Source organism: Homo sapiens, chromosome 3, assembly GCF_000001405.40.
Source record: "Homo sapiens chromosome 3, GRCh38.p14 Primary Assembly".
Classification (NCBI taxonomy): Eukaryota; Metazoa; Chordata; class Mammalia; order Primates; family Hominidae; genus Homo; species Homo sapiens.
In genome coordinates, this window is record NC_000003.12 from 168,031,881 (window position 1) to 168,047,849 (window position 15,969).

Here is a 15,969-nt window from a genome sequence, read left to right on the forward strand (position 1 = left end):
AAAGAAGAAAGGGTAGAGTTTTCTTTTAAAGCATCATTTATAATAATCCTGGCCATTTTTTTTTAAGAAAGGGAAAAGTCTTACGTGTAAGTGGCGTGTCCAGTAAGGGATCCTGAGCAGAGGCTGTTTAGATATGCTCACCTAGTAGAATATCTCCAAGTAGTAAAATCAGATTTTTGATAATTAAATAACCACCTTGAAGGTGAATACAAAAGGCAACATACTGACAATAAATGAACAGGGAGAGGAGGACGCCTGATCATAGAAAATGAGATTTTTCTCTGCCTCAAGATGCTCAAGACAAAACTTGGGTACAAGCTGGGAAGGTGCCCCATCAGGTACTCACCTGTTCTACTCTATTAAGGTGATGTGAGAATGAATCTCTGACTGTGTACAACTGACAAAAAGAAGAATGCACACATACAACAGCTGTGCTCTCTCATCACCAATCATCTTTCTGAGGTATGCGAATAGCTATGCTATTAACATTACAAGAGAAAACTTAAATATGAGCATATAATGTTTAGTAGAATCACTCACATTTCTATTTTAGAGATTGTGATATATTACCTTAATATGTAAAAATAAAGCCAGGTTTTCCATCCCAGTACACCATACCAGAAGCGGGTGACTTCATACCTCAGCACGCGCGTGCCCTTCCAGGAGGTTGGCTGCTTCTCGTTGCTCATGCTGCTCTTTCCACTCCCGATCCTGCTCCTCTGGTGATGGATCGTGTTCCTCCTCAAGATGTTCTGCTTGCCCGACCTGCTCCATTTCTTCCTCCTCCAGGGCCTTTCTGTGCTCCTCTTCCACCTGATGCTCCTCAGGTTCTCTGCGTTCCACTTCTTGTTGGATTGGCTCTGGGGGAGCCTGAAATTCTGCCTCCTTATGGGTGGGAGCATAGAGTTTTGTGTCTTCTGCTCTTCCAGGAACTGCTTCATGGTTCTGCCACACATCATTATTTCGAGACACCTAGGCCAAGCACATCACTGGGAATGACACTCTTCCAATTTCAAAAGTAATGATGTAATTTCTTGATTTCCATGTCTATGGGGCATGGGGCTACAACAGAAGAAGGTGTCTAGAAATATATATAGTCCTGGCTTTATGGCTGCAATGGAGTCACTTAAGTTTCTTACTGTGTAATCTCACTTATAAAATAGACATAATATAAGCAAAACTTCATCTGTGAAGAATACAGTAAATAACCTGGAAAATAAAACCTCCAAGTAACCAATATCTCAGAAGTACTCTAATTCCTATTTTCCCTTAGAATAAAAAGGAACAAAACCTCAAACTTCAAGTGATGAAATGTTTACATAATTTTCTTCAATGTAAATTTTGTTTTCAGTAATTATTTGAAAAGAGAAGGATGAAATAAAATTGAGGAGTTGGGTTTAGTTTTTACTAGTTTGGTTTACTAATTTAAAAAAGAATGCCATTGGCCGGGCGCGGTGGCTCACGCCTGTAATCCCAGCACTTTGGGAGGTCGAGGCGGGTGGATCACGAGGTCAGGAGATCGAGACCATCCTGGCTAACACAGTGAAACCCCGTCTCTACTAAAAAAACACAAAAAATTAGCCGGGCGTGGTGGCGGGCGCCTGTAGTCCCAGCTACGCGGGAGGCTGAGGCAGGAGAATGGCGTGAACCCGGGAGGCGGAGCTTGCAGTGAGCCGAGATTGCGCCACTGCACTCCAGCCTGGGCGACAGAGCAAGACTCCGTCTCAAAAAAAAAAAAAAAAAAAAAAAAAAAAAAAAAAAGAATGCCATTACTAATGAACATCCATGTTAGTTCAACACAGTGCCTGTTAAACAAGATACAATAAAATATTTTTAATGTATTAAAGTAGTAATTATTTGTAAACCAGCAGGACTCTTTTGTAAACATTTTTTATTGCTAATATTGAAAACCCTGAGCAGAAAAAGAAGAAATGGCTTTTTCAGAATAACCCTCCTCTAAAATTAGTTGACTCAAATCAGTTCTCCCTATAAGTTTCAGCGATCTCTATATGATCTGCACTACCTAGAAAGTGAGGAAGAAAGAGAATATAGTATATCAACAGAAACAAACGTCACTCTTTTTTTCTCTTTAACCTTCAGAAAAAAAAATCTTCTTTGGTTAGACTGCTCTCCCAAAATTGAAATAAATGTGAAATCCTATTCTTAAATTAGCAGAGATATAATTATCAAATCTGAGAAATTGGACTGTATTAATAAACTGGGGAGAAAAGTCCTTTCTCAGACATTTGAGGACAACTGGAGTTGCACATTCCACCGACATCCTCACATATCTGGCAAGTTTGACATAATACTGCCCTGGCTTTACAGAAAAATATTTCTCTAAAGAGCTCTAAGTACTTTCAAACACTTGTCATTTATCTTCACAATATCCTAGTGAGGAAGGTTAGTGCAGATAACTCCTATCTCCACCTCAGAGATGGAAAAACTGAAGATCTGAGTCACTGGAAGATTAATCCAGTAAACTGGCAGTCTGACAAGGGCAGAAAATAGAACCAACTGCCAGGCCAGTGATCTGGTCATGCTCTCTTTAGTTATTAACATAAGAGCCTGAGAAAGAATAAGAGTCCATGAAGATACTGAACCTGTCTGTTGAAGGAATACCCTGAACAGAGTGAAGAGGCTCATATATGAAGTCTACTCATATCAACTTAATTATTCCCATAACTTGGAGGAAAGTTTTCTCAGTCTTCTCTTTAATGTTAAAAACCACTTTGTGAGCAAAGGACATGAACACACACATCAAAAGAAGACACTGATATGGTTTGGCTGTGTCCCCACCAAAATCTCATCTTGAATTCCCACGTGTTGTGGGAAGAACCCGGTTAGAGGTAACTCAATCATGGGGTCAAGTCTTTCCCGTGCTGCTCTCACAATAGTGAACAAGTTTCACAAGATCTGATCGTTTTAAAAAGAGGAGTTACCCTGCACAAGCTCTCTCTCTCTGCCTGCTGCCATCCATGGAAGATGGGACTTGCTCCTCCTGGCCTTCCACCATGATTGTGAGGCTTCCCCAGCCATGTGGAATTGTAAGTCCAATTAAACTTCTTTCTTTTTTAAATCAACCAGTCTAGGGTATGTCTTTATGAGCAGCATGAAAACGGACTAACACAAACATATATGTGGCCAACAATCATACAAAAAAAAAAAAAAAACAACTCAGCATCACTGATCATTAGAGAAATGCAAATCAAAACCACAATGAGATATTATCTCACACCAGTCAGAAGAGCTATTATTAAAAAGTCAAAAATAACAGATTCTGGCGAGGTTGTGAAGAAAAAGGAATGGTTATACACTGTTGGTGGGAGTGCAGATTAGTTCAACCATCATGAAAGACAGTGTGGAGACTGCTCCAAGACCTAAAGATATAAATACCATTTGACTCAGCAAAATCCCATTACTGGGTATATGCCCAGAGGAATAGAAATCATTCCATTATAAAGACACATTCACTGCAACACTATTCACAATAGCAAAGACATGGAATCAACCTAAATGCCCACCAATTATAGACTTTGATAAAGAAAAATGTGATACATAAACACCATGGAATACTATGCAGTCATAAAAAAAGAACAAGATCATGTCCTTTGCAGGGGCATGGATGGAGCTGGGGGCCATCATCTGTAGCAAACCAACACAGGAACAGAAAGTCAAATACTACATGTTCTCACTTATAAGTGGGAGCTAAATGATGAGACACATAAGCACATAGAGGGGAACAACACACTGTACGGCCTATCAGAAGGTGGAGGGAGAGGAGCAGGAATATAGCTAATGGGTACTAGGCTAAATAGCTGGGTGATAAGATAATCTTTACAACAAACTCCCATGACACAGTTTACCTACGTAACAAACTTGCTCATGTACCCCTGAACTTAAAAGTTTAAAACAACCACTTTGTCAGAAAGATAACCATATTGCCTATTTTTTTATTACAGATGATTGGAAAAAAAAAAAACAACCTTTGTAGAAATTAGTGGTAATGGTAACTACTTCTGATGTCTCACTTATGAGATATTCTTAAGGCTTAATTTTTATAAAGAACAAGAATATAAAAAGGTGTATTATTTGACTAGCACTCATACCCGTAGGAGTGTCAAACAGGTCATTTAATTCAAATTTTGACATGCTCTGTGTAGACCTAGCACTGCTCCAAGTTAAAATATATTATTAACTTTAATATTTGAGTGGGTTGACTGTCACATAAAATCCTCATGATCATTTAACGTTCTCACCCTAACCCCCGCAAAATCCCCAACCTTGAAAAACTCAGATACTACAACTCCTTGAAGACAAATAAACCTACATGAATAAAGACAAAGCCATTAAAGCCTTTCTCAGACATACTAGCAGCGGCCAGGTGTGGTGGCTCACGCCTATAATCCCAGCACTTTGGGAAGCCAAGGCGGGCGGATCACCTGAGGTCAGGAGTTCAAGACCAGCCTGGCCAACATAGCGAAACCCTGTCTCTACTGAAAATACAAAAATTAGCCAGGCGTGGTGGCGGGCGCCTATAATCCCAGCTACTCGGGAGGCTGAGGCAGGGAGAATTGCTTGAACCCGGGAAGCGGAGGTTGCAGTGAGCTAAGATTGTGCCACTGCACTCCAGCCTGGACGACGTAGCATGACACTGTCTCAGAGAAAAAAAGAAAGAAAATACTAGCAGCAGTTCTCAAAGTTTGCTACTCAGACCAGCTAAATCAGTTAGAAATGCAAATCTTTAGGCCTCACTCCAAATTAACTAAATCAGAAACTCTGGGCCTGGGACCCAGTAATCTGTGTTTTATCACGCCCTACTGGCAATTCTGATATACTAAAATTTGAGAACTACTGCTCTCCCAGAAAAGTTGGCAATATTAAAAGCAGGTCCCCTCTTGGCAACTTGACAGAGAAAGTGACCTAACCATAGATTACCAGTTCACGCCCCTTACCTCCTGCACCTCTCGGGTTGGCTTCTCCCTTGCTGTGTTGTAACCTTGTGGAGAATGTGCCACCTGGGTCACATTTTGCTGTTCTGCTGGATCAGGTTTTCGAAGGCTTGGAATCCTATTCAGAGTATCTTTCAGTTGTTTATATTCTGCAACTTGAGTCTGCATATAAATTGCACAATTTGAGGAGGGAATCTATGAATGCCCATTCATAGATGGGCATTTGGGTACACTGTAAAACTAGACAAAAATATTGTACCTAAATACAAGTTAGAAAAACATACAGATTGTTTCCATGCATTCACTATTCTTACTTGGGCATGCTTAATCATTTTTGAGCGCATGCAAATTAGAAACAGAGCTGAAGGAAACAGAAAAAATATCTAAGACAGATGTTAGTTTCCCATACTACACTGAAGTCAGAACTTTTGTAAATAACTTACTAATATAAATATCACTATTAAAAGACCGTTCTGTGATGTTTTATCATATTAAAAAATCCATTAAAAACTCATATAATTATAAAAATACAAGTGCAAATACCTTTTACCAATATGATCTGAATAAAATCTTTCAGTAGAAAGGAGTCATAGGTTTAAAATAAATTTTAAATACACATACACACACACACACACACACAAACACACACACATATAAATACTCAGGCTACCATTTTCCCCCTCAGTTAATTTGTGCTCAAATAGAATCCCTAATTGGCTAGAATGTTTCCTACACTGTGCTCTGTGGTTTCTGGAAAACAGTGGCACAGCTGTGATATAGACTGGATTTTTTTATCCTTGATTGTGAATGATCTTTTCTTCTAAAGTGACAAAGGTACTAACACAGGTACAGGACTAGAATCTGCTCATACAGCTGCACCTGTGTGTACATGGGGTGGGATGTGTGGATGTCTGTGTAATATTTTTAATACAAGGAGCTAGAAAATTAGAAAAAAATCAATTACTTTAATTAACAAAATCAAGAGGCATTGTGTATACTTTGCTCATTCTATACACCAACACTGTTATCCTGAAAACAGAAATGTTGTGTGTGTAAACAGACATATAAACACATGCAGAGAACACAGAAGTCTTTTTCTCAACAAGCTTCCCAGACAGGGCCAGCTCCGCAGTGTGTGGGGCGCAGCAGGTGAGTGGAGCCAGAACCCACCAGCATTCCTGCTGCCATAGCTATGCACCATGGCACACTGCTCTTCCACCCCAAGAGTGAGGTGCTTTTTTTGCTTCTTTCTAGTGTACACTAGGGTAATGAAGTTTGCTTGCTAAATAATTCCCAGGGCACTGCCTTTTAATAATTTTGTACAAAGGTGCACCATATGACTAGCAATGGCCTTTATCTGAGAAATCTAAATATTTGCAAACCAACTTTGGAGGTAAAAAATAAATGACATACACATAGCAATGCTTTTAATATTTTAAGATAAATATGGAGCAATACACAAAACTCAATTCTACTCCTTCTTTCTCCTAGACACATAATCTTTGAAGGCAGTAATTGTGTGTTGCACAATTAGGGACCATATTAAAAATGTAGGCTCCTGGTCCCCTACTCTTGAAATTATAATTCAACAGGTCTAGGACAAGGCCCAGGTACCTGTGATGCAGGAAGTCTCAAAAAATATCACTTAAGAGTTAAGCGTGATTTCAAAGTCAGGATAACCTGAGCTTCAACCTTGGTTCTGGTCATTGATTTTGGGCCAGCTACTTTACTTCCCTTTTCATCTCAGTTTATTTAGTTATAAAAGGGTACAATATTATATAACTCACAAGGTTGTGAGGATTAAATAAAATACTCAACTACATTTAAAAATCAGGTTGTCAAGGCAGAATCTCCTAAGATGATTTACATGAGAAATGCAGGTGCCTGAAACAGCATTTTTTTTAAAAGGAGATTTGGGGAAAGTCTTAATACAGTATTACAGACTGAATGTTTGTGTCCTCTCAAAATTCATATGTTAAAATCCTAACCTCCAATGTGATGGATCAGGAGGCAGGGCCTTTGGGAGGTAATTAGGTCGTAAGGGTGAAGCCCTACAGAATGGGATTAGTGCCCTTGCAAAGGGATCCAGGAGAGCTTTCTTGGTCTCTTTCTGCTATGTGAAGATACAAGGAGAATTCAACAGTCTGCAACCTGGAAGAAGAGGGCCCTTACCAGAATCTGACCATGCTGGCACCCTGATCTAGGACTTCCAGTCTCCAGAACTGTGAGAAATACATTTCCATAGTTTATAAGACACCCAGTCTAGGGTGTTTTGTTATAGCAGCCCAAAGTAACTAACACATATGGCTCTAATTAAGGATTGCACCTAGTTCTGACACTTTTTTTTAAGGCAGGACAAACCTTGAGCATCCTCGCCAAAAAAGATATTTCAATAAATAGAAAATTATAACTATATATTAAGAAAAAAAAAATTTTTTTTTTTTTTTTGAGATGGAGTCTTGCTCTGTCACCCAGGCTGGAGTGCAGTGGTGCAATCTCGGCTCACTGCAGCCTCCGCCCCGCTGGGTTCCAGTGACTCTCCTGCCTCAGCCTCCTGGGTAGCTGGGATTACAGGTGCACACCACCACGCCTGGCTAATTTTTGTATTTTTAGTAGAGAAGGGGTTTCACCATGTTGGCCAGGCTGGTCTCAAACTCCTGACCTCAGGTGATCCACCCGCCTCGGCCTCCCAAAGTGCTGGGATTACAGGCATGAGCCACGGTGCCCGGCCAAAATTTTTTTTTCTATTATAAAACCCTGTGAGTAATACTGTCAGAGTTCTACTCCAGAATTTGGTTTTGGTCATCAAATAAATGATTTTACTTATCTTTCTATGGATTTTCAAATTGTTGCTCAGTCTTACATTTATGGCCGTTACAGCACACAGAGCACTCAAATCAGTTTGTCACATTTATAGTATGAAGAACAGCCTCATATAAAATAATACTTGACAAAAATTTTTATAAAGAAGACGTGAAATGAAATGATCCCTGACGTCAATTTCATTTATACACATGTAAAAAATCACTACACAGCTACAGCTTAGGAGGAGACACCTAATCAATGACTGTTTAGAAAAGGAATCTCACAAACACAGATGCTACAGCCTCTGAGATGGGTCAGGGACAGAAAATTATACCTTTTAATAATTTTATAAAGAAAAGAAAACCAACATGGGTTTCCTGATGAGCATAGATCGTTTACCTTTGTTCTTTTATCATAATTCCTCCAGTAAGAATAAAAGTGAAGATCTAGTTTACAACAGCAACTAAACTAGCCATTCCTGTTTCCTTCCTTCTGCTAGAAATCTGCATAACACTTAGCATGAAATCGCTTTAATAAGCTCTCCAACACTTGTATTTGTTCCCCTGTTCATTCAGTAAATATATACTGAGGGCCTGCCTTGTGCCAGGAGCTGTTCTAGGTTTGAACAAATGGAGCTTATGACTCTTGTTTTTCCTTCTCTGTTGACTCTTCTACTTTTCTGTAATTTGACCAACAACACATAAGCCTCGTTCCAAAAGGAGGGTGTGTAGGCTGGAATTCTGGGAGCAAGGCAGACACAGAAGAAAAAGTCTGACAATAGTTTTAGGTAGCTAGCAGCATAAAATCCTACAGATACTACACCAAGAGTCAACACAGATCAGATAGTTGCAAAAGACTATATATGTGAGATCATTTCTGTGATTTAAACAAGTATTAGACTACTGCATGTAGGGACGAGAGTGGAAAGAAATGATCATTTATGTACCGCACAACCAGTGCAAAAAATAATCAAAAGTTTAATATCTTACTGATTGAATTTTGAAAGCATGCATGATCCTCAGGATTAGGATAGCTCTGTCCTAAGGAACTCACTGAAGATTGGCTTGTAAGAGACTACATGCATAAAGGAATTGAGAAATGTTAAGCAGACTTGTAAAAGAACCCACAGAGGCTGCTACCCTTCTAACCTGTGCAGCAGCTAGTGCACTCTTGTGGTCTTCCAAAGTCACTACAAGTTGTTCATGCTCGGAGAGTAAATTCTTATGCTGTTGCTACACAAAAAAGAATTTTACATGTTGAGCTTTAACATTCTACGACAAATTCTTCTTTGGCTGATCGTGATATGGCTACCCAAATGTTACTTGCTTGTTTATTTGTTGTTGTAGCAGCATGTGTTAAGTTTAAAAATCATCGTAGAGAGAACACTACGCTTTATGTAGTATTCCAAAATCTAAAACGTGCTACCCAAATATCATAATCATTTATTTACAATGAAATCAAAACCAAAGAAACAAATTTCTCATTATTAGTAAACTTTTATAAATAAAAAGCTTATTAATATGTAACTAGCATGAGAATAATTTCAGTACTAATGAGAATATTCAGATTTTCAGACCATCTTTTAGCTTACAATGCTGAAGTGGTAAAAATATTAGGTACACTCTAGTTAATGCAAAGCCCACAATAACAACGTGGATTTGTAAAGCAGGCCAATTAGGGAATGACTTTTTAAAGTCATTCTACCAAATAAAGCAGGCAAACACTAAATAGTGAAACGTTTGGTTTTCTTTTACCTTGACATCTTGAAGCTGTGTATGTATGTCTTGGTGTGCTTTCCTTAGTTGTCTATTCTCTTCTCTCAAATTGTATACAGTCTCTATTTTAGAAAAAGAAGGATCACACATAAAGCCTTGAAACTTTCAGGATTCTGTTTCTATTATTTTCATATCTAAAGCCACCTATAACTTATTTTAGAATTTATTTTGAACTCAGACAATATAATATTCAAAATCAACAAAAATGATATTGTATTGGGATGTAGCATGGTTTTAGCTGGACATCTCAATCCACTCTGGTTCAGTACTTTAAATGCTTTTAAACAACTTTTGCATGACAGACAAAAGATAAGGAATTTTTGTTACCTAGGAATTAAAAATGAGATGTTAATGTCAATAAGCATACCCTTAGGAATAAAATATAATGCGTAGGTGTACTCAGATTTGAGTCTCTTCACAAATTAAAAACAAAGCTTCAGCATTTCAGTCAAATTTTTAAAAATAATTTAAAATTTTAAAAATATATAAAAATAAAATAATCAGAAAGTATAGACCCTTAACCCTTTGTAGTACTGCCTCAAGACTATTTAACTCCTGCATGACTTTTTGTTGTAACTTACTTTTTTTGAAATGCTATATTATAGAGAAATGTTGCAAAAAACATATAGAGTGGTCCTAAGGACACAACACCCAGCTTCCCATCATGATGACATCTTATACAAATACAGTACATTACCAAAACCAGGAAACTGTTGGGGTCAGTACAGTGAACTAGACTACAAACTTGATTTGGGCTTGACCACTGTTTTTGCATGCACCATATGCCTCTTAAAACCAATTATCTCACTTTAAACTTATTTAGCACCTATTTTTTTTTTTTGACAGAGTCTCTCTCTGTCACCCAGGCTGGAGTGCAGTGCAATGCCCCAGCAATGCAGTGCCCCAGCAATGCATTTAATTTTAGTGCGATCTTGGCTCACTGTAAGAACCTCCGTCTCCCGGGTTCAAGCGAGTCTCTTGCCTTGGCCTCCCGAATGGCTGAGATTACAGGCATGTGCCACGATGCCCGGCTAATTTTTGTATTTTTAGTAGAGATGGGGTTTCGCCATTTTGGCCAGGCTGGTCTCGAACTCCTGACCTCAAGTGATCCACCCACCTTGGCCTCCCAAAGTGCTAGGATTACAGGCGTGAGCCACCGTCCCCGGTTGAAATGGGGAAGACGTGTGTCTTGTGATTAATCTGGAGTTCACCTAAATATTTGATTGCAGAATGCACTGGTTTCTTTCTCCAGGACTCACATGCACTCAGAAAAGTGACATATTTTGTTTCATATTACTATGAAAATACCTGACACAGATGTTGATGGGTAGCAAATTTATGAGCAACTACTCTACATGCTTTATGTAAATTATTTCTCACACCAATTCTACAAGGTTGATATTTTTATGATTATCTCAATTTCACAGATAAGACAATGAAGCCCACAGTTGTCACACAACTTACCCATGGTCACATAGCTAGTGAAGAAGCCAAGATTCACCTGGGCAGTCTGACTATAGAACTTGAGCTTTTTTCAGTTACTACTGGCGATCAACAGCAAGTCTCTGCTCCCTTGGAGATTTTTAGAAATATATGGAGCAATTTTTGATTGTGGCAATAACTGAGAAGCATTATAGCATTTAGTAGGTAAGGATCAGAGATGCTATCTGTCTCGCAACCCAGTTAAGAGAAGAATCGTCTTGCCCAACAGGGCCATGTGCCCCACTGAGATACAAGAGAATACACTACGATACAACAGAACACACGACATATTCTATTCTGCTTCCCTAAACCAACCCAAATAGATGAAGATACATGTGAAACATTACAAAGAAAAAGTGACTGGTAAAGGACCACATGATAAATGTAAATCGATCACCACTCAAAACAACAGTCTACAGTTGCACTGAAACATTAATATCAGTACTTATTTAGAGATAAACTGGCTAATCAGATTTCCAAATACCTTTTAGCTTAGAAAGTTCTTGTTCTTTTTCTTGCTGGAGCTGCAAGTATTTTTGCTTATGGTCATTAAATGTTCTACTGAAGTCTTCCCCTTGTTTGCGATGTTCCTCTTCCAAGTCACTGTGCTGTTTCTTTAGCTCCTCGTGTTGGCTCTGCAAAGATGAAAACTTGAGTAGAAATATACATTCTCTGAATTATATGAGAGTCTATTTCTTGACAGCACAGTAAACAAAAACAAATGAAAGCAAGCAAGCACAAACACATGAAGAAATAGGCTTTGTTTTTCTCAAGTTGCTTTAATTTGTGCAGCTTCCCTCCATTTCCCCTGGATTTCAAATGAACAGTTGGGATCACAGCCAAAAATAATTTTCCCCTTAATTTTTAAGAAGTTAGCATGAGAGATGGAAAGGGAAAAAATGTGGGAAAATTCCCAGGGACACATATTACTGTGGAAACAAGGTAAAGCTAATGGCAAAATTATCCCTCCCTGGGTATTATGGATTTCCTCTTTCGATCTGATGTTTTCCCAGCAATGCATTTAATTTTCCTTCTTTGGTATTTCAGCCTTTCTGGTAACTCAGTTTAAAAGAGAGAGAGTAAATGAGACTTTTCCCTTTGGGAATAGTAATCAACTGTTTAGAGAATTGACTTTTATTTACCTTATTTCCGATTATAATCCTACAATGTAATCATGATCTAGATAAACACTACAGTCTCCAAGTGCTTAATGTGAAAGCATGGTTTGCTTTAATTCATTTACTGCTCTCTTGATAATAAGAAAAGATTCCGGTTTCAATAAAAAGTGCATGCCCTACTGATATCAGAGGGAAAGACAATAGCAAACAGAAAGCGAGGGGGAGGCACGGTGGGGTGGAGATGCCGGCATGATCTGCATCCTGCGAGAAGGGCATAACTGCATGCTGCCCGTCTCTTCCAGCTTGACAGAAACAATGATCCTCTTCCTGACACAGAATAATGAGTTTTACTCAAGGACCAAGGAAGCAGAATCTTTAAATAATAATTTGTGTTCCTGTGGTAAGTAAAAGGACATTTATTAAATATTAGTAACAAGAAGGAAGCATTTTAATAGTTCTACAGCCTCCAATCTGTGTAAGATAAAAGAAAATGTCTAAGGAAAACCACTGTGAGAAAGTAAATGAACATAAAACCCTAATGGATAGAGAGAAGAAGAAAATTAAAAATGAGGTAACCGAGAGCCTGATTTGCAAGAAAATGTGTAATAATTAAAATGTTCTATGTAATCGAGTGATAAATACGACAAGCCATTACAACTATATATAATTTTTAGCCAAATAAGATTTTAAAATGCCATATTACAATACAAATCAACTTCTGTAAACTTTCTTTAATCACTTTAAAGGCCATTAGTCAGTTCAAGTATTAGTTAATCCTTTCTTTTATTCATAAATAACAACTTTAGATTACTCACTTTCAACATCTGATGTTGGACATTCAGTGCACTGTATCTGCTATTGGAATCTTGCTGTAAATCAAAAAAAAAAAAGAAAACACAAAGATAAATATGGCTCTCTTGTTAAATACAGCTTAAAGCACTTTAAAATATAACTTTATTTATTTCACTTGTGTACAGTAAAATGAATTCTACATTTGAACCAAGATGTCGCTGGAGCCATCGATTTAACACAGAAATGAAGTTTTAACATTCCCCTTAGTTTGCTAGATTTTAGAGTAAAAAAGCAGGATATGAAATCATAAAACAGTAGCTTGAAAGAGCCCTTAGAGATGATTTCCTTCCACTTTCATATTCAGAAGAACTGGAGCCCAGACATACGAACTTGTCCTGAGACACAGAGTCACCGCGCAGGGCTAATATATGCGCTGGGTGCTTGAGGTAAGAGGGAAGAAGAAATAAACCGATGAGGAGCGGGCCTCACAAGCTGAGCATGGCTTAAAGGGGGAAGAGAAAAGGCACTTTCTTTCCCTGAACTTCAGCGGGTAAGAAATTCTATATACATGATTTTACCCCAGTGAGGCTCTATTTTGCAGAGTGAGAAACTGAGTAAAGATTAGGAACCTGCCAAGAGCAAATATTTCATTAAGTAGCAGAGCCAGGATTGAAACTTGAGCCTAAGTCTCTGGCTGAACTGCGTGTCCTGAGCTCCAGGTTCCAGGGGTATATCTTTGTGTTCCTGTGGGGTATCTTCACATATGGACCCAATAGTCCCGGGCAGCCATAACCAGTCAGTATGCAAAACACACCTGATTCTTTTCCCTCTCTATGCTATGTTGTTTATGTTTAGGTACCATATCCCTCACTTTACCCTGCCAGCACAAGTATACACTCATGCATTTTTTTTCATATTTTTATTAAAAACTTCTAAAATGAACTGCATTTTTGCTTCCTCACTTTACTGCTTTAATTTGTAAGGAAATTACAAGTGCACACAGCTTTGGTTAGTGCTGTTAAAAGCAAGCAAGAGTTGAAAGCTGATGGCCTCCTGGGCTATCCAAAGAAGTGACTCTTCTCAGTTTTTTTATTTTGAGATAGGGTCTGCCCTGTTGTCCAGGCTGGAGTAGAGTGGTGGGATCATAGCTCATTGAAGCTTTAAACTCCTAGGCTCAAGTGATCTTCTGCCTCAGCTCTCAAGTAGCTGGGAATAGAGGCATGTGTACCATCACGCCCAGCTAATATTTTGTACTTTGAAGTCTTGCTATTTTGCACGGGCTGGTCTCAAACTCCTGGCCTCAGGCAATCCTCCTGCCTCAGCCTCCCAAAGTTTTGGGATTACAGATGTGAGCCAACTCACTTGGCTTCTTCTTAGTTTTAATACCCCAAAATATCAATGTTTTTCAATTAATGCTTATATACTTTTCTTAGAGTAAGAAAAGAGTAGCTTTTATCCAGTTAATTTGGACTTTAAAATATTTTTATTTATTTATTTATTTAATTTTTATTTTTTTATTGATCATTCTTGGGTGTTTCTCGCAGAGGGGGATTTGGCAGGGTCATAGGACAATAGTGGAGGGAAGGTCAGCAGATAAACAAGTGAACAAAGGTCTCTGGTTTTCCTAGGCAGAGGACCCTGCGGCCTTCCGCAGTGTCTGTGTCCCTGGGTACTTGAGATTAGGGAGTGGTGATGACTCTTAACGAGCATGCTGCCTTCAAGTAAAATATTTTTAAATGCCAGTATCATTCATCCCTTCACCCATTCCACAAATGTTCTTAAATGAAAACTCTAGGCCAGGTCCTGTGTTGCATGTTACACATGTGAAGGCAAACCAAAATAAATCTTACATTCTATAAAAAAGAGAGACTGCAAACAAATAAATGAAATAATCTTCTTTTTATAGTTGAACATTAAGGTTATTCCCAGTTTATCCCTATTATCAACAATGTGATAAGTAAAGGTAAGTTTAAAGTCTTCCTCTTAGAATTTTTTGGCAGCCAAAAAAAAAAAAAGGGGGTGTCAGTCCTATAATCCCAGGGATCAAAAAGTAAAAGAGTTCGCAACTGTATTTCTCTCTCTTTCAAGTTTTATGAAAACAAATTAAGGAAAACAAACAACCACAACAAAAAAAACAAAACTTACCCTTCCTTTATTTAATGTTTCTTGTGCTTCTAACTTATAAACAAGAAAATCTAGAAAATACAAGATGGAAAAAAACAGTGATAATTCACTACACAGATTTTAAACATCTAAAGAAATAAAGGCAAACTTCACTCATGCTTACAAAAGTGTTTTAGGTTTAAAACAATCTACTTGGTGATTTACATACTTTATTTTGGCTCTCATTGCTTTAGAAAGAATTGGAAAAAACATACAGCTTCCTCTTTACCTTACAGCTGTAAATCTTGCATCCACAAAATCCAAATTATAGCCAATTGATTAAAAGTGCTTTTAGAATATCTCTGATTAACTCTCCTTGAAATTTAGGAGGGAAAAAATGGAGCACATCTGAAGACAAAGGTGATTTATTGCTATCCACTAGATGGCACACTAAAATCATTCAGTTCCTGAAAACAGAAATCAAGCCAGCCAAGCCATCTTTAATGCTTTGAAAACCTTATTATCCACTAGATGGCTCTATAAAATCACTCTGCATTTGAAGGCAAGGAGACTCCAAATCTTATCAAAGCATTTAATGATGCTGAACTTCTATTCTTCACACAGGCTCAATCCAAGGGTCAGTAAAACATCCTAACCAATACTGCCCCTCCTCTGCTATCCTCTTCCTTCCTACCAAGGTAGGCAGACAGAACACGTAATTTAAATTTCAAGATTTATCATAAAACATGAATAAATAAATATCAGAATGCAGATAACTTCAAATCATCAGCTGTATAAGGCCTGTGTTTTATGGAAAAATTCTGATAAAAATTGACAGCATTGCCCAGTGGCTGTCCTAAATGTAAACTTTCAAACTGAATCAACTGATGTGTCAATAAAAACTTTCACAAGGTAAAAACAGGTGCATAACTTAAAATATAA

At 38.1% G+C, this 15,969-nt stretch overlaps 1 protein-coding gene across 5 annotated transcripts in view; it reads right to left on the reverse strand.

Annotated features, from left to right (window-relative positions):
* GOLIM4 (golgi integral membrane protein 4) overlaps positions 1–15,969 on the reverse strand; it is an 87,236-nt gene that overhangs the window by 23,192 nt on the left and 48,075 nt on the right. For 3 of the 5 annotated variants that reach the window (NM_014498.5, XM_005247364.4, XM_047447978.1), the window contains exons 3-9: positions 15,070–15,119; positions 12,948–13,001; positions 11,499–11,649; positions 9,512–9,594; positions 8,906–8,989; positions 4,956–5,114; positions 640–972 (exon numbers count right to left, since the gene is read on the reverse strand). In NM_014498.5, coding sequence (NP_055313.1) covers positions 640–972; positions 4,956–5,114; positions 8,906–8,989; positions 9,512–9,594; positions 11,499–11,649; positions 12,948–13,001; positions 15,070–15,119 — 914 coding nt within the window. The remainder of the gene's footprint in view (positions 1–639; positions 973–4,955; positions 5,115–8,905; positions 8,990–9,511; positions 9,595–11,498; positions 11,650–12,947; positions 13,002–15,069; positions 15,120–15,969) is intronic. The other 2 variants (NM_001308155.2, XM_005247365.4) reach the window with 1 other exon arrangement.